General features: G+C 39.2%; 1 long non-coding RNA gene across 1 annotated transcript in view; it reads left to right on the forward strand.

Annotated features, from left to right (window-relative positions):
* The window catches only part of CFAP20DC-DT (CFAP20DC divergent transcript), a 724471-nt gene that overhangs the window by 267671 nt on the left and 430468 nt on the right, over positions 1–26332 (forward strand). The window contains exon 5 of the long non-coding RNA XR_002959675.2: positions 6990–7034. This is a non-coding gene — a long non-coding RNA (CFAP20DC divergent transcript). The remainder of the gene's footprint in view (positions 1–6989; positions 7035–26332) is intronic.

Here is a 26332-nt window from a genome sequence, read left to right on the forward strand (position 1 = left end):
TGCTTCTCGTACTTTGAAGCATTGTTAGTATATGTATACACGTAGGTTGTTATGTCTCCTCAATAAATTGACCTTTTTATTATTATGAACTATTCTTTATCACAGGTATGAAAGTCTACTTTGTCTGTTATTAATTCAGCTCCTTCCTCTTTTTTATACTTAGTACTTGAATAATATATCTTTTCAAACCTTTTAACTTTAATCTATCTTTGAATCTACATTTAAAGTGGTTTTCTTGCAGACAGCATAATGTAGTGTCTTGCTTTTTTTGTTGTTTTTTTTTTATTATACTTTAAGTTTTAGGGTACATGTGCACAACGTGCGGGTTTGTTACATACGTATACATGTGCCATGTTGGTGTGCTGCACCCATTAACTCGTCATTTAACATTAGGTGTATCTCCTAATGCTATCCCTTCCCCTTCCCCCCACCCCACAACAGGCCCTGGTGTGTGATGTTCCCCTTCCTGTGTCCATGTGTTCTCATTGTTCAATTCCCACCTATGAGTGAGAACATGCAGTGTTTGGTTTTTTGTCCTTGTGATAGTTTGCTGAGAATGATGGTTTCCAGCTTCATCCATGTCCCTACAAAGGACATGAACTCATCATTCTTTATGGCTGCATAGTATTCCATGGTGTATATGTGCCACATTTCCTTAATCCAGTCTATCATTGTTGGACATTTGGGTTGGTTCCAAGTCTTTGCTATTGTGAATAGTGCCACAATAAACATATGTGTGCCTGTGTCTTTATGGCAGCATGATTTATAATCTTTTGGGTATATACACAGTAATAGGATGGCTGGGTCAAATGGTATTTCTAGTTCTAGATCCCTGAGGAATCACCACACTGACTTCCACAATGGTTGAACTAGTTTACAGTCCCAGCAACAGTGTAAAAGTGTTCCTATTTCTCCACATCCTCTCCAGCACCTGTTGTTTTCTGACTTTTTAATGATCACCATTCTAACTGGTGTGAGATGATATCTCATTGTTGTTTTGATTTGCATTTCTCTGATGGCCAGTGATGATGAGCATTTTTTCATGTGTCTTTTGGCTGCATAAATGTCTTCTTTTGAGAAGTGTCTGTTCATATACTTCGCCCATTTTTTGATGGGGTTGTTTGTTTTTTTCTTGTAAATTTGTTTGAGTTCATTGTAGATTCTGGATATTAGCCCTTTGTCAGATGAGTAGATTGCAAAAATTTTCTCCCATTCTGTAGGTTGCCTGTTCACTCTGATGGTAGTTTCTTTTGCTGTGCAGAAGCTCTTTAGTTTAATTAGATCCCATTTGTCAATTTTGGCTTTTGTAGCCATTGCTTTTAGTGTTTTAGACATGAAGTCCTTGCCCATGCCTATGTCCTGAATGGTATTGCCTAGATTTTCTTCTAGGGCAGGGTTTTTATGGTTTCAGGTCTAACATTTAAGTCTTTAATCCATCTTGAATTAATTTTTGTATAAGGTGTAAGGAAGAGATCCAGTTTCAGCTTTCTACATATGGCTAGCCAGTTTTCCCAGCACCATTTATTAAATAGGGAATCCTTTCCCCATTTCTTGTTTTTCTCAGGTTTGTCAAAGATCAGATAGTTGTAGATATGTGGCATTATTTCTGAGGGCTCTGTTCTGTTCCATTGGTCTATGTCTCTGTTTTGGTACCAGTACCATAATGTTTTGATTACTGTAGCCTTGTAGTATAGTTCAAAGTCAGGTGGCGTGATGCCTCCAGCTTTGTTCTTTTGGCTTAGGATTGACTTGGCAATGAGCGCTCTTTTTTGGTTCCATATGATCTTTAAAGTAGATTTTTCCAATTCTGTGAAGAAAGTCATTGGTAGCTTGGTGGGGATGGCACTGAATCTATAAATTACTTTGTGCAGTATGGCCATTTTCATGCTATTGATTCTTCCTACCCATGAGCATGGAATGTTCTTTCATTTGTTTTTATCCTCTTTTATTTCACTGAGCAGCGGTTTGCAGTTCTCCTTGAAGAGGTCCTTCACATCCCTTGTAAGTTGGATTCCTAGGTATTTTATTCTCTTTGAAGCAATTGTGAATGGGAATTCACTCATGATTTGGCTCTCTGATTGTCTGTTATTGGTGTATAAGAATGCTTGTGATTTTTGCTCATTGATTTTGTATCCTGAGACTTTGCTGAAGTTGCCTATCAGCTTAAAGAGATTTTGGGCTGAGATGATGGGATTTTCTATGTATACAATCATGTCATCTGCAAACAGGGACAATTTGACTTCCTCTTTTCCTGATTGAATACCCTTTATTTCCTTCTCCTGCCTAATTGCCCTGGCCAGAACTTCCAACACTAGGTTGAATAGGAGTGGTGAGAGAGGGCATCCCTGTCTTGTGCCAGTTTTCAAAGGAAATGATTCCAGTTTTTTCCCATTCACTATGATATTTGCTGTGGGTTTGTCATAGCATAGCTCTTATTATTTTGAGATACGTCCCATGAATACCTAATTTATTGAGAGTTTTTAGCATGAAGGGCTGTTGAATTTTGTCAAAGGCCTTTTCTGCATCTATTGAGATAATCATGTGGTTTTTGTCATTGGTTCTGTTTATATGCTGGATTACGTTTATTGATTTTCATATGTTGAGCCAGCCTTGCATCCCAGGGATGAAGCCCACTTGATCATGGTGGATAAGCTTTTCGATGTGCTGCTGGATTCAGTTTGCCAGTGTTTTATTGAGGATTTTAGCATTGATGTTCATCAGGGATATCGGTCTGAAATTCTCTTTTTTCATTGTGTCTCTGTCATGCTTTGGTATCAGGATGATGCTGGCCTCATAAAATGAGTTAGGGAGGATTCCCCCTTTTTCTATTGATTGAAATAGTTTCGGAAGGAATGGTACCAGCTCCTCCTTGTACCTCTGGTAGAATTCGGCTGTGAATCCATCTGGTCCTGCACTTTTTTTGGTTGGTGAGCTATTAATTCTTGCCTCAATTTCAGAACCTGTTATTGGTCTTTTCAGAGATTCAACTTCTTCCTGGTTTAGGCTTGGGAGGGTGTATGTGTTGAGGAATTTATCCATTTCTTCTAGATTTTCTAGTTTATTTCCATAGAGGTGTTTATAGTATTCTCTGATGGTAGTTTGTATTTCTGTGGGATCGGTGGTGATATCCCCTTTATCATTTTTTATTGCATCTATTTGATTCTTCTCTCTTTTCTTCTTTATTAGTCTTGCTAGCGGTCTATCAATTTTGTTGATCTTTTCAAAAAACCAGCTCCTGGATTCATTGATTTTTTTGAAGGGTTTTTTGTGTCTCTATTTCCTTCAGTTCTACTCTGATCTTAGTTATTTCTTCCCTTCTGGTAGCTTTTGAATGTGTTTGTTCTTGCTTCTCTAGTTCTTTTAATTGTGATGTTAGTGTGTCAATTTTAGATCTTTCCTGCTTTCTCTTGTGGGCATTTAGTGCTATAAATTTCCCTCTACACACTGCTTTGAATGTGTCCCAGAGATTCTTGTATGTTGTGTCTTTGTTCTCATTGGTTTCAAAGAACATCTTCATTTCTGCCTTGATTTTGTTATGTACCCAGTTGTCAATCAGGAGCAGGTTGTTCAGTCTCCATGTAGTTGAGTCGTTTTGAGTGAGTTTCTTAATCCTGAGTTCTAGTTTGATTGCAGTGTAGTCTGAGAGACAGTTTGTTATGATTTCTGTTCTTTTACATTTGCTGAGGAGTGCTTTACTTCCAACTATGTGGTCAGTTTTGGACTAGGTGTGGTGTGGTGCTGAAAAGATTGTATATTCTGTTGATTTGGGGTGGATGGTTCTGTAGATGTCTATTAGGTCCACTTGGTGCAGAGCTGAGTTCAATTCCTGGATATCCTTGTTAACTTTCTGTCTCATCGATCTGTCTAATATTGACAGTGGGGTGTTAAAGTCTCCCATTATTACTGTGTGGGAGTCTAAGTCTCTTTCTAGGTCTCTAAGGACTTGCTTTATGCATCTGGGTGCTCCTGTATTGGGTGCATATATATTTAGGATAGTTAGCTCTTCTTGTTGAATTGATCCCTTTACCATTATGTAATGGCCTTCTTTGTCTCTTTTGATCTTTGTTGGTTTAAAGTCTGTTTTATCTGAGACTAGGATTGCAACCCCTGCTTTTTTTGTTTTCCATTTGCTTGGTAGATCTTCCTCTATCCCTTTATTTTGAGCCTACGTGTGTCTCTGCACGTGAGATGGGTTTCCTGAATACAGCACACTGATGGGTCTTGACTCTTTATCCAATTTGCCAGTCTCTGTCTTTTAATTGGAGCATTTAGCCCATTTGGCCCATTTGCATTTAAGGTTAATATTGTTATGTGTGAATTTGATCCTGTCATTATGATGTTAGCTGGTTATTTTGCTCGTTAGTTGATGCAGTTTCTTCCTAGCCTCGATGGTCTTTACAATTTGGCATGTTTTTGCAGTGGCTGGTTCTGGTTGTTCCTTTCCATGTTTAGTGCTTTCTTCAGGAGCTCTTTTAGGGCAGGCCTGGTGGTGACAAAATCTCTCAGCATTTGCTTGTCTGTAAAGGATTTTATTTCTCCTTCACTTATGAAGCTTATTTTGGCTGGATATGAAATTCTGGGTTGAAAATTCTTTTCTTTAAGAATGTTGAATATTGGCTCCCATTCTCTTCTGGCTTGTAGAGTTTCTGCTGAGAGATCCGCTGTTAGTCTGATGGGCTTCCCTTTGTGGGTAACCCGACCTTTCTCTCTGGCTGCCCTTAACATTTTTTCCTTCATTTCAACTTTGGTGAATCTGACAATTATGTGTCTTGGAGTTGCTCTTCTGGAGGAGTATCTTTGTGGTGTTCTCTGTATTTCCTGAATTTGAATGTTGGCCTGCCTTGCTTGATTGGGGAAGTTCTCCTGTGTAATATCCTGCAGAGTGTTTTCCAACTTGGTTCCATTCTCCCCATCATTTTCAGATACACCAATCAGACGTAGATTTGGTCTTTTCACATAGTCCCATATTTCTTGGAGGCTTTGTTTGTTTCTTTTTATTCTTTTTTCTCTAAACTTCTCTTCTCACTTCATTTCATTCATTTGATCTTCTGTCACTGATACCCTTTCTCCAGTTGATCGAATCAGCTACTGAGGCTTGTGCATTCATCACGTAGTTCTCCCCTGCCATGGTTTTCAGCTCCATCATGTCCTTTAAGGACTTCTCTTTATTGGTTATTCTAGTTAACCATTCATGTAATTTTTTTTTCAAGGTTTTTAACTTCTTTGCCATGGGTTCGAACTTCCTCCTTTAGCTCAGAGTGGTTTGATCATCTGAAGCCTTCTTCTCTCAACTTGTCAAAGTCATTCTCCATCCAGCTTGTTCCATTGCTGGTGAGGAGCTGCATTCCTTTGGAGGAGGAGAGGCGCTCTAATTTTTAGAGTTTCCAGTTTTTCTGCTCTGTTTTTTCCCTGTCTTTGTGGTTTTATCTACCTTTGGTCTTTGATGATGGTGACATACTGATGGGGTTTTGGTGTGGATGTCCTTTCTTTTTGTTAGTCTTCTTTCTAGCAGTCAGGACCCTCAGCTGCAGGTCTGTTGGAGTTTGCTAGAGGTCCCCTCCAGACTCTGTTTGCCTGGGTATCAGCAGCGGAGGCTGCAGAACAGCAGATATCAGTGAACAGCAAATGTTGCTGCCTGATTGTTCCTCTGTAGTTTTGTCTCAGAGGAGTGCCCAGCCATGCAGGGTGTCAGTCTGCCCCTGCTGGGGGGATGCTTCCCAGTTAGGCTACTCGGGGGTCAGGGACCCACTTGAGGAGGCAGTCTGTCCATTCTCAGATCTCCAGGTGCGTGCTGAGAACCACTACTCTCTTCAAAGCTGTGAGACAGGGACATTTAAGTCTGCAGAGGTTTCTACTGCCTTTTGTTTGGGTATGCCCTGCCCCCAACAGTGGAGTCTACAGTGGCAGGCAGGCCTCCTTGAGCTGTGGTGGGCTTCACCCAGTTCAAGCTCTCAGGCCGCTTTGTTTACCTACTCAAGCCTTGGCAATGGTGGGCAACCCCCCCAGCCTCGCTGCCGCCTTGCAGTTTGATCTCAGACTGCTGTGCTAGCAAATGAGCGAGGCTCCGTGGGCGTAGGACCCTCCAAGCCAGGCATGGGATGCAATTTCCTGGTGTGCCGTTTGCTAAGACCATTGGAAAAGTGCAGTATTAGGGTGGGAGTGACCCGATTTTCCAGGTGCTATCTGTCACCCCTTTATTTGACTAGGAAAAGGAATTCCCTGACCCCTTGTGCTTCCTGGGTGAGGCAATGCCTCGCCCTGCTTCAGCTCCTGCTCAGTGCACTGCACCCACTGTCCTGCACCCACTGTCCGACACTCCCCAGTGAGATGAACCTGGTACCTCAGTTGGAAATGCAGAAATCACCTGTCTTCTGCATCGCTCACGCTGGGACCTGTAGACTGGAGCTGTTCCTATTCCGCCGTCTTGGCTCTACCCTTCTGCTCCACCTCGTGAGCACTGTCTTGCTTTTTTATTCAATCAAAAATGTCTGTCTTTCAACTGGAGAGTTTAGGTCATCTACATTTCATGTAATCATCATGTTTGAGTTTAAATCTACTGCTGTCTTGATATTTGCTTATCTGTTCTATTTTCTATCTTTTAAAATCTGCATTCCTTAAACTTGAGTATTTATATTTAATATTAAATAAGTTTAATACTTTATTTTATCTCCCTATTACCTTATTAGTTATACTTATTTTTATTGGTTTAGAGTTTACCATATACATTTGAACTTAGTATGGTTTATTTTAAAATAACATTGTATATATATATTTCACATAATGTGTGACCATTTTAACAATATTATTCTGTGCCCCCCATCTTTCATGCTAATCTTGTTATAGATTTTAATCTCATGTTTTAAATTCTAAAATATGCTGTCATTAGTGTTCTTTAAATAGTTGATATCTTTCAAAGAATTTTAAAACTGAGAAAAAACCTCCTAGATTTATCCATATATTGATCATTTCTGATTCTTTGTCTTTTGCAGATTCATGTTTCCATGTGATGTTTTTCTTCCATCTGAAAAACTACTGTAAGTCTACTGGTGATGACCTTTTCTTGGATTTTGTTTGAAAAAGTTTTTATTTTTCTTTCCCTTCTAAAGAATATTATCACTGGATAGAAAATTCTAGGCTGGTAGGTTTTCCCCTCAACATTTTCAAGATGTGTTTTCATTATTTTCTGGATCTATAAGTTTACACTTTTCATTAAATTTGAGAAATTTTTGGCCTTTAATATTTAAAATATTTTCATAGCTCCTCCTTCTAGGACCCCTACAATGTGTATTTAAAATTACTCTCTGTTATTCCACAAATCATGAAGGATCTTTTTAGTCTTTTTACTTCCTGTGCTTCATTTACTTTATGTTCTATTGTTATGTGTTCAAGGTTACCTATGTTTTCTTTTGCAGAGTCAAATCTGTTGCCAAATCTGTCTAATGGAATTTTTACTTCAGATACTGTATTTTTTTATTTCTAAAAGTTCCTTTTGACTCTTTTTATATGTTCCATTTCTCTCCTCACCATGGCCATGCTTTTTATAAAATATGAATGTATTGTTATAATAGTTGTTCTAACTTTTAACTATGAGTTCCATCATCTCTATCATTTGTATGTCTCTTTTTATTGACTGAGTTTTCTCCTGGTTATGAATCACAATGTCCTTATTCTTATTCTGACAAGTTTTTTTTATTGGATGCTGCAACATTGTGAATACTACATAGTTGAGTGTCTGAATTTTGTTGTCTCACTTTAAGGAGTTTTGAACTTCATATTGGGGGACATGTATTTTTCTGTCAGTTTAAGCTTATTTAATTATCTTTTTAAACTTTGTGAAGGCTGGGCGCAGTGGCTCATGCCTATAATCCCAGCACTTTGGGAGGCCAAGGTGGGTGGATCACTTGAGGTCAGGAGTGGCCAACATGGTGAAATCCCGTTTCTACGAAAAATACAACAATTAGCCAGGCATGGGAGCACACACCTGTAATCCCATCTACTTGGGAGGCTGAGGCAGGAGGATTACTTGAACCTGAGAGGTGGAGGGGGCAGTGAGTGGAGACCGCGTCACTGCACTCCAGCCTGGGCGACAGAGTGAGACTGTCTCAAAAAAAAAAAACAAAAAAAAAAAAACCAAAAAAACAAACTTTGTGAGGAGTAGTCTAGAGTAGGCTTTACTCTAGGCATGAACAAATCATGCCTAGAGTAAATCACGACCCCTCTGGGGTGTCCACAGAATACCCCACATGGCCACTGTGGACATTCTACACTGACTCACCAAAGTTTGAATGCCTCCCAACCCTATTGAGCTCTGGAAATTGTTCTGCTTTTGCAAATCGGTCACTCTTTGCCCTGGATTGTGGACTTTTACTCTATCTATGCACAACCTTATACTTAGGGGCTACTTAAGGTAACCCTCATGCAGATTTCTAGAGCTCTTTTACTGGGTAGCTTCATCTTTTCTGGAAATTTGCCCCACAAGTCCCAGCCATTTCATCCTTCTTAATCTCTGATTTTTGTTTTATCACTTCAGGCAGAAAACCAGACCAATTTTAGAGATTATCTCACTTGCTTTCCTCCCCTCAGGAATCACAATCTGTGTTACCTATTTTTAACTGTCTGGAAATAGTTATTGTACATATTTTGCTCAGTTTTCTAGGTGATTATTATAGGAAGTTAAGTATGGTCCTTTAACTCCATAATGGCCAAACACACACACACACACACACACACACACACACACACTCTCTCTCTCTCTCTCTCTCTCTCTCTCTCTCTCTCTCTCTATATATATATATATATATATATATAAAATTTTAAATGAAATGTGTTAAATGTAAGTCATTTGAATTTAACAGCCGAAAAATTATCTTAAAATGTTGTATTACTTCAGGTAAGAAGAACTACAGTTTTTAATGATACTTTGCCTTTTAAAATATGGGAGAAACCTTAAGAGTTTGAAGAAATTGTTTTTTAACTATGTATATCAAACAGCATTTATAGACTCTCTAGTCTGAAAGATAAGAAAGTTGATCATACTTTTACCTCTTGCCAACTTGTTCTTCCCCCACTGTCTTATAATTTTATTTACCCATTGTTAAGATGTATGACATTGATTTTTGCTGTAGCCACAGTTCATGATGGTGTCCTGTCTTAATTCTATGTTGAACTGAATTTAGTTCTCACTGTTATTTTAACACAACTTACCCATTTTTGAGTTCTTCATTTTAAATTGTATTTTGTTTGGTTGAATTTATCATCAATTACCCCCTCCCCATAAAGACTCATAGGGGGAATGTTCTCTGAGTCCTTAAGGCTTATGAGTTTCTGTGTTTAGCCTTGTACTTGTAGTAAACTTGGCTAGATATGAAATTTCCTCAGAACTTTTCATATATTGCTGTACTGCCTTTTATCATGTAATGTTACTATGGAGGAATCCGAAGACATTCTAATATTTCCCCTTTGTATATGAACTACTTATTGGCCTATATGTCCATAGAATTCTTTGGGTATATCTTTGAAGTTTAGCAGCTTTTCAGGATATTTCTTACTATAGTTCTTTTTGTATTACTTTTTCCTGAGTTATGTCCTTTTGACTATAGATTTAGATTTTTATTTCAAGAAAATATTTTTGCACCTTGGGGCTTGACCTGTTGGAACTTTTTCTAAAGGGCTTTTGCTTGGAATCTGGCATTGGGCAGAGGCCAGAAAGGTCCTGGGGTGACTGTCAGTGGAGGCTTGAAGCAAAGGGAAGAGAACACTATTGAAAGTTTCATAAAAGAAAGGTTATGTTGTACATTAGCAGAACAGTTGATGAGACTAGCTCCTGTAGCAACTTGGAAAAATATAAATATCTAATTAACTTATGTATCTACCTAAGTTATTTCCAGACAGGATATTGAAAGCACCACGGATATTGAAAGCGCCACCTGGTTCTTTGAGCTACTTATAAGTACAGTCAGGAAGAGAGAAACTAAAGAAGGAACTATTTTATTTTTTAAGCATAATTTAGAAGAAGTATTTCCATCGTAGAACTTGTTGGCTTAGCAAATAAAACTATTTCTCATTCCAATATTATTAGTCAGGAGAAATTTCTCAACCTAAGTCATAGTCTCAGGGCAAATATAAGATAACAGAACACTGCCTGTAAAATGTGGCTTTGCATTCAAGAACCTATAAAATCATTTGTTAAGACGTTAGAAAGATATAAGGTGATGTCTCACAGACCCTTTCTCATCAAAAAAAAGGACTTGTAATAATCTTAAGTGCATGATTTGTAGAACCCCTCAGCTAGACGATGGGAGTTTTAAAAATCTCGAGTCTTATCTTATAGCACTTTGACTCACAGTCAGAAAGTAGAGATAGACTTTGTGGGTATTGCTTTTGTCTAATGGAGTAAATTATAACTTGATACCTAGGAATGCCACAGAATTTTTAAAGGGATTATATCAGCTTATACTAAAAGATAGCAGAAATAGTTCAGAATAAAATGAGGCCTCCAGACCTCTAACTTACTTTGAGTAAAAAGAAGTTTGAGAAAACGACTCATCTGTACACATGGAACTTTTTATGTGGGTTAAAAGAAAGAATGACTCTAAGGAAACAGCTAAAGCACAGCGCTTAAAGCCAAGAGAAATGGGAAATGATCAAAGATTATGGCAGAACTGGGTCCTGATCAAGGAATCTGTGATATGTGCCCAGTTGAATTTCAGAATTGCTGTGAACCTCTGATGATTATGTACCTTCTATTGTCCTCACTGTTGAATGAGAGTGTCTATTGTAGTGTTTCTGACCCATTCTCATCTCACGTTGTGTATTGAGAGCGTGTTGGGGTAGTTAGAAACTTGCCTCTTTAGGTCACATGCCTTCAGATAAAGAGCTGTACCTGAGGAGCTTCAGTCATATCTGAAAATGATTTAAATGACGATACTCTGGACTCCAAAACAGAATCTGAGACTGTAATGGATGAGATGAGGTCCTGGTGGTTCTTGGGAGTTAGAGGGGTATATTTTGCATGTGGGAGGGAGATCAAAGGTACATGACAATAAACTCTTATTTTAGTGACTCCTAATGAGCCATGCCTTCCAGTATTTATGCTCTAGTTTAGTCCCCTGTCTTTGAATTTGGGTTGGCTCTGTCGCCCACTTTAAGCAGTAAAATGTGCCGGAAGCAATACTATGTCAGGTCTGGGCAGCTTCCACTTCCGAATTCTTGGAAGTAGTCTCTCACACAAGTCCAACTATCTTAAGACCACCGTGCAGCGAGGAAGCCCAAACTATCCAGGTGGAAAAGCCATGTGGGTGGGAACCAAGGAACCCATGCAACACGCCTAGCTGAGCTCTCAGCTTACCTTCCGCACTGAGTTGCCAGCCATCTGAGTGATACTCATCAGTGAATTAGTTGAGCCATCTATGCAAATGTTATATGGGGTGTAAATGGTCCTCCTTAAGCTCTGTCCAAATTGCAGATTTGTAAGAAAGTAAAATTTTAAGCTACTTTGGGATATTTTATTATACAGCAATAAATAACTGAAACATCTTGAATTTCTACCTTGAGTTATTTTTATTGCAGACATCATGTATTTGAGACCATGGGGGCAATTTCTTTTAATGTGTATTTCTTCATCTCTTTTTTGTTGATGGTGTTTTCTTCATCCTCTCCAGCCCTCCCCACCAATTACCTATATATTTGTTTCTGTTGCATCCTTTTTGATTATTACTAATCATCAAGTAATTTAACTAAGTAATTGAATAACTTAGTAATTCAAATAAAATGAAGTATTGGCTTATAAATAAGAATGCAAAGTGATGTATGGAGAGGGTAAATTATAATGGCTTCAATTCAGGTTTCACTCCTGTGTTCTCTGCCCAGCGTGATATCACCATGTGGGTTTCAGTATTTTGAGTGTTTCTGTGGCTCAGAAAGTAACCCTTAAAAGTTACAAAATCCCCTGCTTGTAATCCAGTGACTACCGCTATCCTTCCTCTGTTTTTCCCACCTTATCTTCAGCAATCCCTTTTAGTAGTAAATACAGAGGCCATAAAATTTATTGTTCAAATGATCACACTGCCCTTATATGGAAGGGGCTTCTATTTATAATTGCACTAGGATGGTAGGCATAAAATGGGCAAATCAGGTCAGCAAGCAACATTGTTTGTAAGCTTGGGTTTTGGATAATATAAACGGCGTGCGCCTTCTTGAGCTCTACCTACTTAGCTTTCCTGCTGTGGGAAAGAATAGGACTATGCAGTGACAGTCCCATGCTGTGGTTTGAGTGTTCTTTTCTCCTCCAAAATTCATGTTGCAACTTAACCCCCAATGCAACAGTAGTAAAATGTGTGGCCTTTTGGAGGTGATTAGGTCAAGAGGTTTCTTCTCTTGTGGATGGATTAGTGCTCTTATAAAAGGGCTGGAGGGAAGTAGCAAGGTCTCTTTTTGCCTCTCCACCTTTTGCCATCTGAGGACATAGCAAGAAGGTACCGTCTTGGAAGAAGAGAGCAGCCCTTACCAGACTGTGAACCTGCTGTTGCCTTGATCTTGGACTTCTCAGCCTTCAGACCTGTAAGAAGTAAATTTCTGTTCTTTATAAATTACCTAGTCTATGATATTTTGTTATAGCAGTGGGAACAGACTGAGGCACCTCACTTCTCCTTTGGCTTGCCTATGTCTCTATATCTCATTGTTTCCATCAATGAATTATTGCATTGACCATTTTAGACTAGGTCATTTGCATATTGAAGGAATTCTATATCCTGCCTAAATTTCTATGAAGGCTACGTGTAGCTGTCAGTGACTTTTCTCATTTGGGGTCAGGTTACAAAGCACATGACAGAGTTTGTGGTTTGTGGTTCACAGCGTGTGATTTGGAATTTTCTTTATCTACCTCTGTCATTACTATGGGGATATACTTTCCTTCTATTTTTACTTTTTCAAATTGCTTTTCTGGGTTTAGAAGGAGAAATGTGGAATTACATATCTTTACTTTGTTATCGTTAACTGGAAGACTACTGTTTTGATATAGAGATATGACCATGATATAGAGCCAAACAGAAGAAAGCAGATTATAGTGCATTAGTTATGGTATGTATCCCTTTGTGTTAAAAAATACATTTTGCATTCCTAACCTACTACTAAGAATATTTATTTCACTCCTAACCAAGGTTATTTTACGGAGTGGAGAGGACGTATATAATGTATATAATTCTGAAATTTTTGCAACGGGCATGAATTAATTTTATAACTCAGAAAAGAAATCAATGAAGATAATTCAATTTTGGAGAAAACCAAAAAGACTCAGACTTCCGTGGCCCTTATTACATCATGGTGTTGAAGATCCATGCCACAAACAAGTTATCTCGTGGTTAAGCATGCAATGCCCTTTTATTTTGACCCCAGTAGCCTTTCATCAAAATTTTCCCATTGCAGACCTTACAGAGAATTATCTTCCTGAGCTCAAGAAAATCTAAAAGTTGCAAGGCAAGGAGCACTTTGTTGCCGTAGGTTAAGGGCTACTAGGATAGGATTGAATTAACCACCACAATAACAACAAAAAGAAAATCCCTTGTCCGTATGGTTGATGCCTGTTGTGTGGGCTTCTGAGTCCACAGTTGGCCTGTTGTTCCCTGACTCTATTTATTCCCCTAGCTCACGTTACCATTTTCCTGCCCACTGTCCTCTGAGTTATTCTCCCCTGGGACTCAGCATTAATATTTTAGCAATAGTGATCTATCCTTTGGCATCTACAAAATGTAGGAGACAAGCAGTAAATCACAGCAATAAGCGTGTGTTGCCAGAGTTTCCATGGAGGGCTTTACTGAGCACACCAAGAAATGGATTCATGAAACTTAGTGTGCTAGAGTGGAAAGTAAAACACAGAAATGAAATAGAGTGGTGCACACAGCTGTCACACTCATGTCAGAAATCTGGACGAGAAAGGGAGGCATCAGTGGCTCGAAAAGATCTTCCAGGGAAGAGCAGAGCTGCTATCGCGTGTCAAGCAGCTGACACAGGAGCCAAGCTTGACGAGTCATTTTGATGCTTAGCTGGAAAATTCCTTGGAAATAAACACAATTGTTCAAAAAAGGCCAAAAAATCCAAATCAATATAGACAAGAGAGCTAAGGGAATGAATAAAAACAAGGAAATGAAGGATAATGAAAGCCTCTGTGCCCACTCCTGGTCATAACTGGACCTCAACAAGGGCAGGTATTTGAGGTTAAGAGGTTGACTTGTGCGGTGGAAAAAATATGTCCAAAGAGCCATGTGGAGCTGTGCTGAGACCTACCTTGCTCACTAGCCACTTGGATTTAGAATATTTGGAAAGCAACTTTGCTCTTGAAAAATTCTCAGCTGGTTCTGTTTGGTTTCACTGACTCTGAGTTTGGATTTCTTTATCTGTAATGTCAAGATAATAGTATTCTGTCCATGATGTCGTTTTGAAGATTAAATGAGATAACACTGATAAACACCTGTAGTCTAAAATTGTTCAGTAAATGCTGGTTGCCAGTTCTCTGGAGCTTGTCCTCTGCCCCTAAGTTCTCTGGGGTGAAACACTTCTGTGCCTTGCCCTGACCTTTCTCCTCTTCCTGTTTCTCTTCTTCCTCTTTCTCCCTCCCCTGCTCCATAAAGATAGTGAAGCCCTGAGCTGGCAGATAAATTGGACTCCCGCTCAGGTGAAGCAGAGAGAATTCTTGATGTATTTTTTTTTCTGTAGCTGAGGAAGCAAGTTGCATTTGTGCTGCTGGTTTCCATTACTGGGCTGGTCGTATTTTATCTTCCCTTAAGTGGCAGCCAGATCCCTCCAGGTCAGGTCAACACAGAATCTGAATACAGGAGAGAGAAGCAGGTACTAAAGCTGGTCAGAAGTATTTATTTCTCTTACAGCTGTACTATCTAAAAGAGGCACTAAAGTTTTCCAACGTGAGGCTGGGAGTTGCAATTCTCCTCTGCAATGCCCTTTGAGCTTCAGGCCTGTTTCCACTCAGCTGATTCTCCATGATGCTCATGACCTTGTTCCTTTGCCCAGGTTTCATCACAGCGCCCATCTTCTCAAAGCCATCATTAACTCCCCATTGCCCATAAAATATATCTCCAAATCCTTACCCTGGTATACAGTGCCTGCTACTCTGACTCATACTTACTCTTTGTTTTATTTTCTACCATCCCTAAGCACTTGCAAGTCTAATACCAAACTATTCACTGTTTCCCACCTACTCCTTATATTTTCCTGCTTCTGTGCCTTTTTGATGTGTCTGGAATATTCCTTTCTCCTCCTTCTCCTCCTCACTCCCGTGGTCAAGTCATACCTGGTCTGCAGAGCCCAGCTCCAATGTAAGCCATGAAGTTTTATTTGTGCACCCTTCAGCTGAGGGTAATCCTACCTTTCTCTGAACTCCTTTGGTTTTCTGTGAACAGAGCACTGATGACTGGTACTAAGAATTCTCCACTCTGCAGTACAGGCTTTTCCAAGCTTAGTGTTCTTCCCTAATAGAATGTAGGCGCCTTGTAGATAAGACTTATGCCTGACCCCTACTGCTTTTCCCCACAGTGTCTAATATACTTTGGCAACTGGATGACTGAATTTGAGGACATTAGTTGAGCTGTTTACATATATACAATTACTGATGACCTAGGAGTTGATACACCAAGGATGTCAAATTCCTGCCATGCATGCCCTCACAGCTCCTCTGGTGCTGGTGGAAAAATTCTCACACATTCACCCCAGTCAGGAAGTGGCTGCTTGGAGAAGTAGGTAGAGAAGGATTCTCAGGTTGTGTCTTGTGCCAGTGGGATGGAGTGCTGTGATTGATTGGTGATGTCTCCTATTACCGATGGATCAGAATTGACAGAAAGGTGGAAACGTTATGTTTCCATATTGGTAGAAAGAAAGTTCTGATAAATGGGATGGTTATACTTACAATGAAAACTGACTCTTCTAAAATTGTTAGGAGACAACATAGAATTGGAGTTAACTTTCATTTGGACCTCTTCTACTTGGGAGCTAGTAGAAAATTACTTAATCTTCATTTTCCCACATGTCAAATGAGTTACTATCACCTATTTTGCCCACCTCAGTTAAAGAAGTATTTTTTCGGTGTTATGATGGCAAAAGGAGATATATATGAATACATCAGTTTATTTTATGTTAATTCTGATGACTTTCCTTTTGGTCTAGAAGCTTCTGTACTGTCAATGTCCAGTGATGTCCATGTTGACCTCCAGTTGAGGCATCTTAGGCCTAGCAATGAGGCCATTTGAGATCAAAGCCTTCCAACTGGGGAATGTGGCACTTAACTCTCTCTTCCCAAGTCAGGCCGGAGATGTGAGGATGGACACAGCTCTCCTGTTGTGTTTTGTACACACTGAATTTAATATCCAACCAATTTGCCCTTTATATCCAATCAAAGAATAAGTGGCTCATGAGAACAGAGTACAGTCCTGCAATTCTGCATTTCTTCCTTGTGTTTATTCTTTGACCTATTTATTAACAAACACAAAACACCTTTCCTCTTAAAAAACACAATATTTCAATCCAAATGAAATTATTTTTTAAAAAATGACATTAGGATATGTACAGTTTTCTCTCCAATGTAGTTTCCAACCCCAATAAGTAAGTTCTACGCTCTGAAGAAGCTACATAGAAATTAAACTAAGTGTATCCAAACAAGTTCATAATTTTTATGCTACTGTCTCCTTTAAGGCCTAAGAAATTACCTATTGACCCTTTTAAATATTAAATCCCTTTTATTATCCCTTTTATTGGCCATCTACTTAATGTTAAGTGAAAGAGCCCTAAAAATAGGTCCAACATTTAAAATCTGTGATAATTGCCCTTGAATGGGCAAGAGAGTAGACCTGTCTGTATCGAGTGCTCATGAAGTCAAATCTTGCGGGGCTTTTCTGATCTGGACTGGGAAACCACGTCAGCCCTTTGGGCCTCCTGCTGAAATGGACTCTTTCAAGTAGGAAACATAAATTAAGTCAAAAGATTGGAGTTCTAGAAAATCTGCCATTCCCCACCCCTCTCCAAAGCCATAGAAGAAAATAAAAGAGCAAGAGGAAAGAGATTTGTGAAATGGCTAATGAAAACTAGTCACATAAGGACATTAAGCCAAGAAAATCTGAATGGGGAAACTAAGCGTCAGATATGAGAATGTTAAGGAGATGGTTACTCTCCCTGGTTGTGTAAAGCTGGGCGGTTTTCACAGCCATGTGGTGTACCTGCTGACTAGTCACTTCATGCTGCTACACAGAGAAACTTGGAAGGCACTAAAGGCTTCTGAAGGGCACTTGTCACCATCACATAATAGGATATTTTGTGGTCTGGAAAAATTATTTGATTGAATGCTTTAGCGATTTCAATAGTGATTTGTTCCTTCTGTCACATTTGTTACATCTGTGTTAGCATCCCAGGGAAAACAATACAGTTGTGATTTGTTACCTGTATTGTTTTCAGAATAAAAACTGGATGACTTCCTGTGTGTGTGTTTATTTTTCCCTCACCAGGTGAAGCTGTTACTCAATAATTAACATTAGGTTTAGACACTGGGTTTAAGAAATAAACAAAGCACTTGATTGTTTTTTTTACACCTCCATTATGGGGAAGAACTTTAGGGGAAGGCAGGGAGAAAAGACTTTTCAAGAAATTGCTATACAACACGATGAAGAAATCTCTCTGTGATTATAAAAACATAAAAATATAGTTGGATGGTGAGACCACCTGATTCTCCTGGGAACTCTGCTGACATTTCTGATAATAGAGAAGGGTCTCTGTGTGAATCTCAGAAGCATTCTGTAATTTTTCCCTCTTCTCTCTTCAGCTCAATGGGTTCCTGGCCAAACCCCAGGACCAGGCATTGAGAGAGAGGCTGGGTCTCAGCTCACTCTCAAGATGAAGTGAAATGCCAGATGTGCTCCAAATACTGTCTGAAATCTCCAGGGAAGTTAGAAAAAAAAACTTCAGAGCTGTCTACTTTGTGAACAAAAAAAATCCCCAAATTAAGCCATCCAGGGTAGCTTCTGACCGACTCTTTGGTGCTTGTCTCCTATGGCACGGTTGAGAAATCCTGTTCCAGTCAACGTGGGTCTCTATGGGAAGGTGCTGAGTGAGGGTGTTTGGGGAAGGTCACATTTCAAGTGGAAAGTGAAAATCTGCACAGCATGGGAAAAGGAGAACCACTGTCCACAGGAGACAGGTCTTCATTAGTCTTAACTAAAATATTGACATTTCAATTGGACCTTTGGTAGTAATTGCTCTGTTGCACAAATACAAAATGTCCAGCCAGGCCAGAACTTAGAATACCTGTCCTAGATGCTTAAGAGTAACTAACAAAAACTAGATAGATTTCAAAAGTATTAGAAAACACGACACAGACTGGGAGAATATGTTTGCAAATGACAGCTGTAAAGGACTGTTATCGAAAGTTCACACACAAAATAACTTAAAACTCAACAATAAGAAAACAAGTAACCCAATTAAAAAATAGTCAAAATACCTGAATGTCAAAGAAGATACACAGATAGCAAAGAAGCATATGAAAAGATGCTTGATGTGGCATGTCATTAGGCAACTGGAATTGCAAATTAAAATGACAATTAGATACCACTATGTACTTATTAGAATGGCCTAAGTCCATGACACTGATAACACCAAATGTTGGTGAGGATGCAGGGCAACAGGAGCTCTTATTCATTGCTAGTGGAATTGCAAAATGGTACTGTCACTTTGAAAGATGGTTTGATAGTTTCCTACAAAACTAAACATACTTTTATCATACACTCCAGCAATTTCACTCCTTGATATTTTCCCAAAGGAGTTGAAAACGTATGTCTACACAAACACCTGCATGCAGATGTTTATAGCATCTTTATTCTTAAGTCCCAAAATTTGGAAGTAACCAAGACTTCCCTTAATAGATGAATAGATAAATATTCAGTACAAAAAGAAATGATCTGTTAAGCCATGAAAAGACATAGAGAAAGTTTAAATGCATATTACTAAGGGAAAGAAGCCATTCTGAAAAGGTTACATACTGTATGATTCTAACTATGTTACACTTTGGAAAAGGTGAAACTGTGGAGACAGTAAAAAGACCAGTAGTTTCCAGGGGTTGGAGGGAGTAGGAACAGAGGGCACTTAGGGTAATGAAACTACTCTGGATGGTACTGAAACAGTGGATACTTGTCATTACACATTTGTCCAAACCCACAGAATGTACAACCTCAAGGGTAAACCTCATGGTAATGGACTTTGGGTGATAATAATGTGTTAATGGAAGTTCATGGATTGTAACAAATGTACCACTCTGGTGGGGGATGTTGATAACGTTGTGGTGGGGGGAGGTTGTGCAGATGTGAGTACAGGGTGTATATGGGAACTCTGTAATTTCCACTCAATTTTGCTGTGAACTAAAACTTCTCTAAAAATATAAAACCTAGTAAAGAAAATGGATGGCTTGAAATTTGGAGAAAAGTAAAAAATGTCAGATATAAGAGGCAATGACAATAGAGAAGCTCTCTTTCCTTTTAGCACCATTGGCCCTTCTTTGATTTCTTAAAACCCATTTACACCTAGTGTTCCCATTATTGGAACGCAAAGCATGTGGGAGTTATTTATATCCTATTGCTCAAGGTCATCGCCAAGGTCTGATTGCAAAAATTCAAAAAATTGCAACCTCAGGTATAAATGGGTTAATAATCTTGAAATGCCTACTATTCATGGAGTCCATTTGGGCATGGAAGGGCTTCCCATGCGTTATGCCACTCAATCCTGATAGCTGCCCTATTTATAGGTGTCAGATTAGATAAAGAACCTGAAGTTCAGGGAGGCTCTGTGGTTTCCATAAGGGAGTCCAATTCATGCGGAGGTCAAAATAAAAATGCTAATGCATAATTTATGAACACCCTTCCTGGGATTCTTAATCCTGATTTTATACACATCAGAATCTCTTATGGAACTTCCAAACATGCACATTTTTAGGTCTTACCCAACACCTCCAGGTAGGGGGTTGGGAAACCTTGGCTTTTGCTTATTTATATATTCAGCTTTCCAGCAGATTCTGAGGCGTAGCCCTTCAGAGCCACACCACAGGCCTAGAATGAGTAGGCTGTGCTTGGCAGGATTGGAGAAGGCCAGAGAAGTTGCAGAAGAGCCTCAGGCTGGTGCTTGGAAGAGAGCATAGGCACGAGGTTGGCTCTGTTGCCCAGCATCACCAAGGACACTGCAAGAACCTTCTTCTTCACTGTGCCTGGGAGTTTTAAAAATCATTTTCCTTGCTTCCAGCCCCCAGCCCAATTCCTCACACAGAGTTGGTACTCCAGCATGCTTGACAAATGACTACACAAATGCTTCATTCTCTCCATAGCTCATAACACAGGAAATTTAGGGTGTAGACTGAAAGGGTGTGACTGACATCTGGAGAGCAATATTCTGTAGTCAATGAAAGAATGGGAAGGAGCAGAATTTTCTGAATGGCTGAACACCAGACCTTCCTGCATGTCATTTCATTCCTTCTCAAGACTGCCCTCCAAAGTAACTTCCGTTACACACACTGAACAAACGAGCAGCTGGGGTTCAGCAAATTTGCATATCCTGCTCACAGTCACAGGGCTAGTGTGGGAAAGGCCAGAATTGCCACCTATTTATCTGACACAAAGCCCATGCCCTTTCTGCTTTATACGCTGTGTCTCTGGATTATAGAATAGTCTTTGTCAGAACAGCACCATTCAATGGAAATATAAGACAAGCCACAAATGTGAACCACATATGTCATTTTAAATTTTCTAATAGCCATATTAAAAAGATAAAAAGAACAGATGAAACTAATTTTAATGATATTTAACCTAACATAACCAAATTATTATCATTTAAACATGCAGTCAATTAAAAAATCTCAAGAAGCTATTTTACATTATTTTCTTCATGCTAAGTTTTCTTTTTTCTTTTTTTTTCTAACATAAGATCTTTTTAAAATTTTTTTTTATTATTATTATACTTTAAGTTTTAGGGTACATGTGCACAATGTGCAGGTTAGTTACATATGTATACATGTGCCATGCTGGTGTGCTGCACCCATTAACTCGTCATTTAGCATTAGGTATATCTCCTAATGCTATCCCTCCCCCCTCCCCCCACCCCACCACAGTCCCCAGAGTGTGATGTTCCCCTTCCTGTGTCCATGTGTTCTCATTGTTCAATTCCTACCTATGAGTGAGAATATGCAGTGTTTGGTTTTTTGTTCTTGCGATAGTTTACTGAGAATGATGATTTCCAATTTCATCCATGTCCCTACAAAGGACATGAACTCATCATATTTTATGGCTGCCTAGTATTCCATGGTGTATATGTGCCACACTTTCTTAATCCAGTCTATCATTGTTGGACATTTGGGTTGGTTCCAAGTCTTTGCTATTGTGAATAGTGCCGCAATAAACATATGTGTGCATGTGTCTTTATAGCAGCATGATTTATAGTCCTTTGGGTATATACCCAGCAATGGGATGGCTGGGTCAAATGGTATTTCTAGTTCTAGATCCCTGAGGAATCCCCACACTGACTTCTTCATGTTAAGCTTTCAAAATCTGGTGTGTATGCCACATTGACAGCACATCTCAATTAGGACCAGCCACATTTCAAGTGGGACATGTAGCTCATGGGGGCTAGATGGACAGTAGTACAAATCTAGACAATTAGTTGTGCTATGAGGGCATTTACTTGGGTTAATGTGGGAGAACATGTTGTTGGTAACTCAGGAAGAGATGACACTCTGAAGGGCAATTAGGCAGTTTGGTGCCAAGAAAATATGTTCATTTATTTCATAAACTACTGAGTACCTACTTCATGCCAGACACTGTTCTAGGCCCTGGGGTAGAGAGGTGAACAAATCCAAGTGCTTTCACTAATGGAGTCTACATTCTAGGAGAGAAGACAGACAATAAGCAAATAAACACATAACGTAAGTGATTTGAGAAAAATGATGTCAGAAAGCAGATAGAATGTGGCAAGGGCTGTTTTTGATGCATTAACAAGGAGAGGTCTTTCTAAGGAAATGATATTTGAGAAGCGACTGAATTAAGCCAACATAGGAATATCTAAGGAAAGGGTGTTTTTGGCAGAAGGAACCTGAAGATGGCAACAGGCTTTGTATATTCTGGGAGTAGCAAGGCCAGGCCAGTGTTGGAGGAAAGGGCTGATGGTGAGGAAAAAAGACTCAAGAATGAGAATGGAGTTGGCTCATGTGAGGGTTCATACGGTGGGGTAAGGACTGTTCAAGTGTGGTGGGAAGTCTTCATAGAGTTTTGAGTCAGGGAGTGGGGTGCTGTGATCTACATATTCTGTAAAGGGTAATTCTGGCCACCGTATAAAGAATAAAATGGGGTTAGAGTAGCATAGGGTGGGCAATGACAGGTTGTTACTGCAGGAAATGTGTCAAGCTCTGAGGAATATGTCCAGCTATATTGAAAAAAGGATGAGCGAACAATGGACAAGATTCAATTCTCATGGTACAGCTATCCTAAGTGCTGGTTTATATGGTATATAGACACAAGGTGATAATCAGAGAGCATTTCTCACATTACACAGTTGAATGATAGGAAATGAATTACCAAGACAGGAACCCAGACAGAGAATTATATGAGGGCCAATTGCCAAAGCTAGGGTAGGATGGCTTCCAGAAGACAAGAATTTGATCAGGAACCCAGAAATGCCAGACCCTGCCTTAGCCCAGCCACTTCTCTTCTCTCAGAGGGGCCCAAGGAAGGCTGAATTACAAAAAAATGATATGTGGGAAGTAAGAGTAGTACTTCATTGTTATTGACCTTGTATTAAAAGCTTCAGTTTAGAGATACTGGGTTAAAAATGGTGCAAGAGTCATGAAAGGGCGGTTCCCCTCTCTTAGGCACAAATCTTGGAATCTTACAAAAACAGATGAGAGCAGCCCTTTAATAGAATGTAAGCTTTTTAAGGGCTGGGATCCTATCTTGTTTATAGCCATATCCCCAGAGATACAACATCTAATACATATTCAATATTTGTTGCGTCCATCCACCCATTCCTTTGACAACTCCTACATCTAATGAACATTTTGACCAGGCACTGGGCTACAGCAGGGAGGAGACATGGCCATTGCATTCTGAATTCATAGTCTGCCATCAGAAACAGCCTTTCACTACAGGATGGTGAGTTCTTTGTAGAGGAGGGACAGCTTGCTCTGAAAGCATGAAAGACGATTCTCAAATCCAAGGCAAGGAAGGGTGGGGAGCCTCCCCTGAGGCAATGGTGCCTGCCCAGATCTGTGTTGGGTTTAGAGTGGGAGATTTCTGGCATTTGTAGACAGTAAAGATACACTCTGTTGGTAAACTGGCTGGCATGTAGGTAGCTTGAATGCAGAACTGAATATTTAGAATGATAGAATGATGATTAGTTGGCAAATTTAAATGGTGATATAGCCTCATTAATATGTATAACCTATGCTTTTCCTAAATTTGGTAAAATCAAAAGCAGGAATATATGCTCATTTTTAAAACTCTACATTCATACCATTCATTTGTGTAATATGGCATCTAATACCTGATTATCATAATTTTACCTAAATAATGAATAAATTAGACAGGGGAAAAATTAAAACCTTTCATATTAGACACAATTGTAATTCTTTTACTGTAACATTCACAGTTAAATTCTTAATTAAGCTTGTATGCTTCTTTTACAGAAATACATTTTGTAGATACAGTTAATTTTTTAGTATTTGCATCCATGAGAGGAAAGAGCAGCATAGATAATTCCCCAAAACCAAAGTTTAAAATCCTTTTCCGCTGAGCTGTGTCTATCCTGTACAATGACTGATATTTGCTTTCCTAAATGATGCTCTTTATGGGATAATATTAACATATGTTTGTATATTGAGAAAAGAAAATAACTGATATAAATCAGCGGAGAGAATATGGTAGGGGCTGAGTGATGGAGAAGTCTTGTGGGATTGAGTTTTTTTAGTGATAATGTGTAATTGCCTAGCCTACACATCATAAGTTGAAATAGAAGATGGTAGTTTTCTCTCCCCTCTCTCCCTCCCTCCCTCCCTCCCTTCCTTCCTTCCTTCCTCCCTCCCTCCCTCCTCCCTTCCTCCCTCCCTTCCTCCCTCCCTTCGTCCCTCCCTTCGTCCCTTCTTGCTTCCCTCACTTCCTCCTTCTTTCCTTCTGTAACCACAATTTATGTATTATATTTCCCAAAATGTTGTGTAAACAAAGACACATGAATCCATCCAAGTTCAGGTAAAACCTTAACAATAAACTTGGGGAAGCAGTTTATCAATATGATCATCTCTGTGGGAACTAAATACTCCAGCCCATTTCTAGTCTAAAATCCTCTAGGCACATGATCATAAACTTGACGAGGATAGTCTCTTGCTGTGCATATGTTGATACCTAATACAATATTTTTTTTGAAAATTACAGAGAATTCAGCAAGCATCTTCAGTCATGGAAGGACATTTTGCAATATTTGTTGCTGTCATCATCATAAAGATTACAAATGATCTATTTCCCTGCCACTCAGTGTGTATCTTCTAGGATCAAACATCAAACCAAAGATGGCAGAAATGCATTCAGAGCCTCATTTTATGACTTTACTTTGCTTATTGCATTTCTTTTCTTGGAAATGTAATTGCTTTAGAATTACTGGGATCATGGGAAAAGCATGCCATCAAGAAAGTAAGCGATTGAGTGGGGGAAAAGTAATAAAGTCAATTTATTTAAGTTTGACAGAAATCTTGGGGTTTTCTGATCCACAACTTCTGGGTAATTGCTTCAGTCTTTGCAAAGTCAAAGGGAATATTTTCATTCATTTGTTGTTGCTATTGCTGTTCAAAACACACAACAGGTAGGCCTAGTGCATTACCAGAAGACTAGAAATCATTGGAATAATATGACATCTGTGAACACAACTATATAATCCAATCATCACAGACATATAATTGAGTTTGGTTGTGAAAAAATAAATGAAGAAGGAAAATAATTGTTCAAGGTAACAAATACTAAACAGACATTAAATTAAGCCAAACTTCTCTTTCATTTCAACAACAGCAATCTTAAATCCTATTTAGCTCATAAACATTTAACAAAATATTTTTTTAGTAGTTGTACAAGATATCATAAAAGTTGCAAAGCATTTTCTCTTGGGCATGAGGTGTACACTTCTGAGAATAAAAGCATGTAGATGTATACACACACACATTCACACACTGGAAATCTCATCCTTTTTATTCTTTTGGCACTATGTAAATGCAAAGATGTAGACTTAGTTGGGTTCCAAGCTAGGTTTCTTTGATTGCAAGTAACAAAAATGGATTTTGGCTAATGTAACCAAGCAGAAATGTGTTGGAAGGAATGGGATTGCTTACAGAATCAGTGGGAGGCTGAAGAAGAAGCCTTGGAAAAGGGCAAGAATCAAGGCATTTCTAGTTTACAGGAATTATTTTGCAGCAGCATCAGTGTGCAAAGGCTCCCTGAGTGAGCCCCAAGCATTTTCATTCTACTCAATCCTTGGTTTAAATTAAGATTCCTGGAAGGGAGCATTCAATGACCTATTTACTCAAAAGTTCATCCTTGGAAGGAGAGAGTAGGATACTTCCATCAACTGTCCCACCAGGCTATATCCAATGGAGGAGGGTGGGTCCCTACAAGGATGGACACTGTGTAGCCAAAAACAGCAGACCCATACAGTCAATGGTGTGAGGGTGAGTAAGTTTTATTCACCTTAACCCTGAGTGATGATCCTAACACTGAGTGGAGAAATGACCATCTCCTTTTAGACTATTTCCAAAGTACAAACAGAACTTGGCATGATGTCATGAGCTTCTGCTGGGATCTGATGACTGGGTCTCATACTACTGAGTTTTGTGACTTTTTGCAACACTCTTATTCTCATTGCATCTTAGTTTCCCCATCTTACATATCTCACAAACTTATCATAGATACCAAGAGCAATCTATATTAAAGTATATGAAAGCACTTTGTGAAAGCTTACAGTGGTTTCCAAATGTTCCTGTGAGTTTGAGAATCCTCTAGCAGTGACTGCAAGAGCCTAAAGAGAGACACAGAAACGTAGGAGAAGGTCTGAGGTCCTGAGCATTCCCTGGGTAATGAGATCAATGTCCACCCCATGGATGTGCGTCCCTGACAGATGAGATGCGTGAAATGCTATCTACCCACCAGACTTAGGCCATACCTTATAAAGCAAAGTCTTCGCTTTCCTCTTTCTAAAACAATGTTCTGTGTTGCTGGTTCCCAGCAGTCTGCAAGCTTCAGGAATCTGCCTGGATTTTTGGTTCTTAAATGATAAA

Source organism: Homo sapiens, chromosome 3, assembly GCF_000001405.40.
Source record: "Homo sapiens chromosome 3, GRCh38.p14 Primary Assembly".
In the NCBI taxonomy this organism is placed as follows: domain Eukaryota; kingdom Metazoa; phylum Chordata; class Mammalia; order Primates; family Hominidae; genus Homo; species Homo sapiens.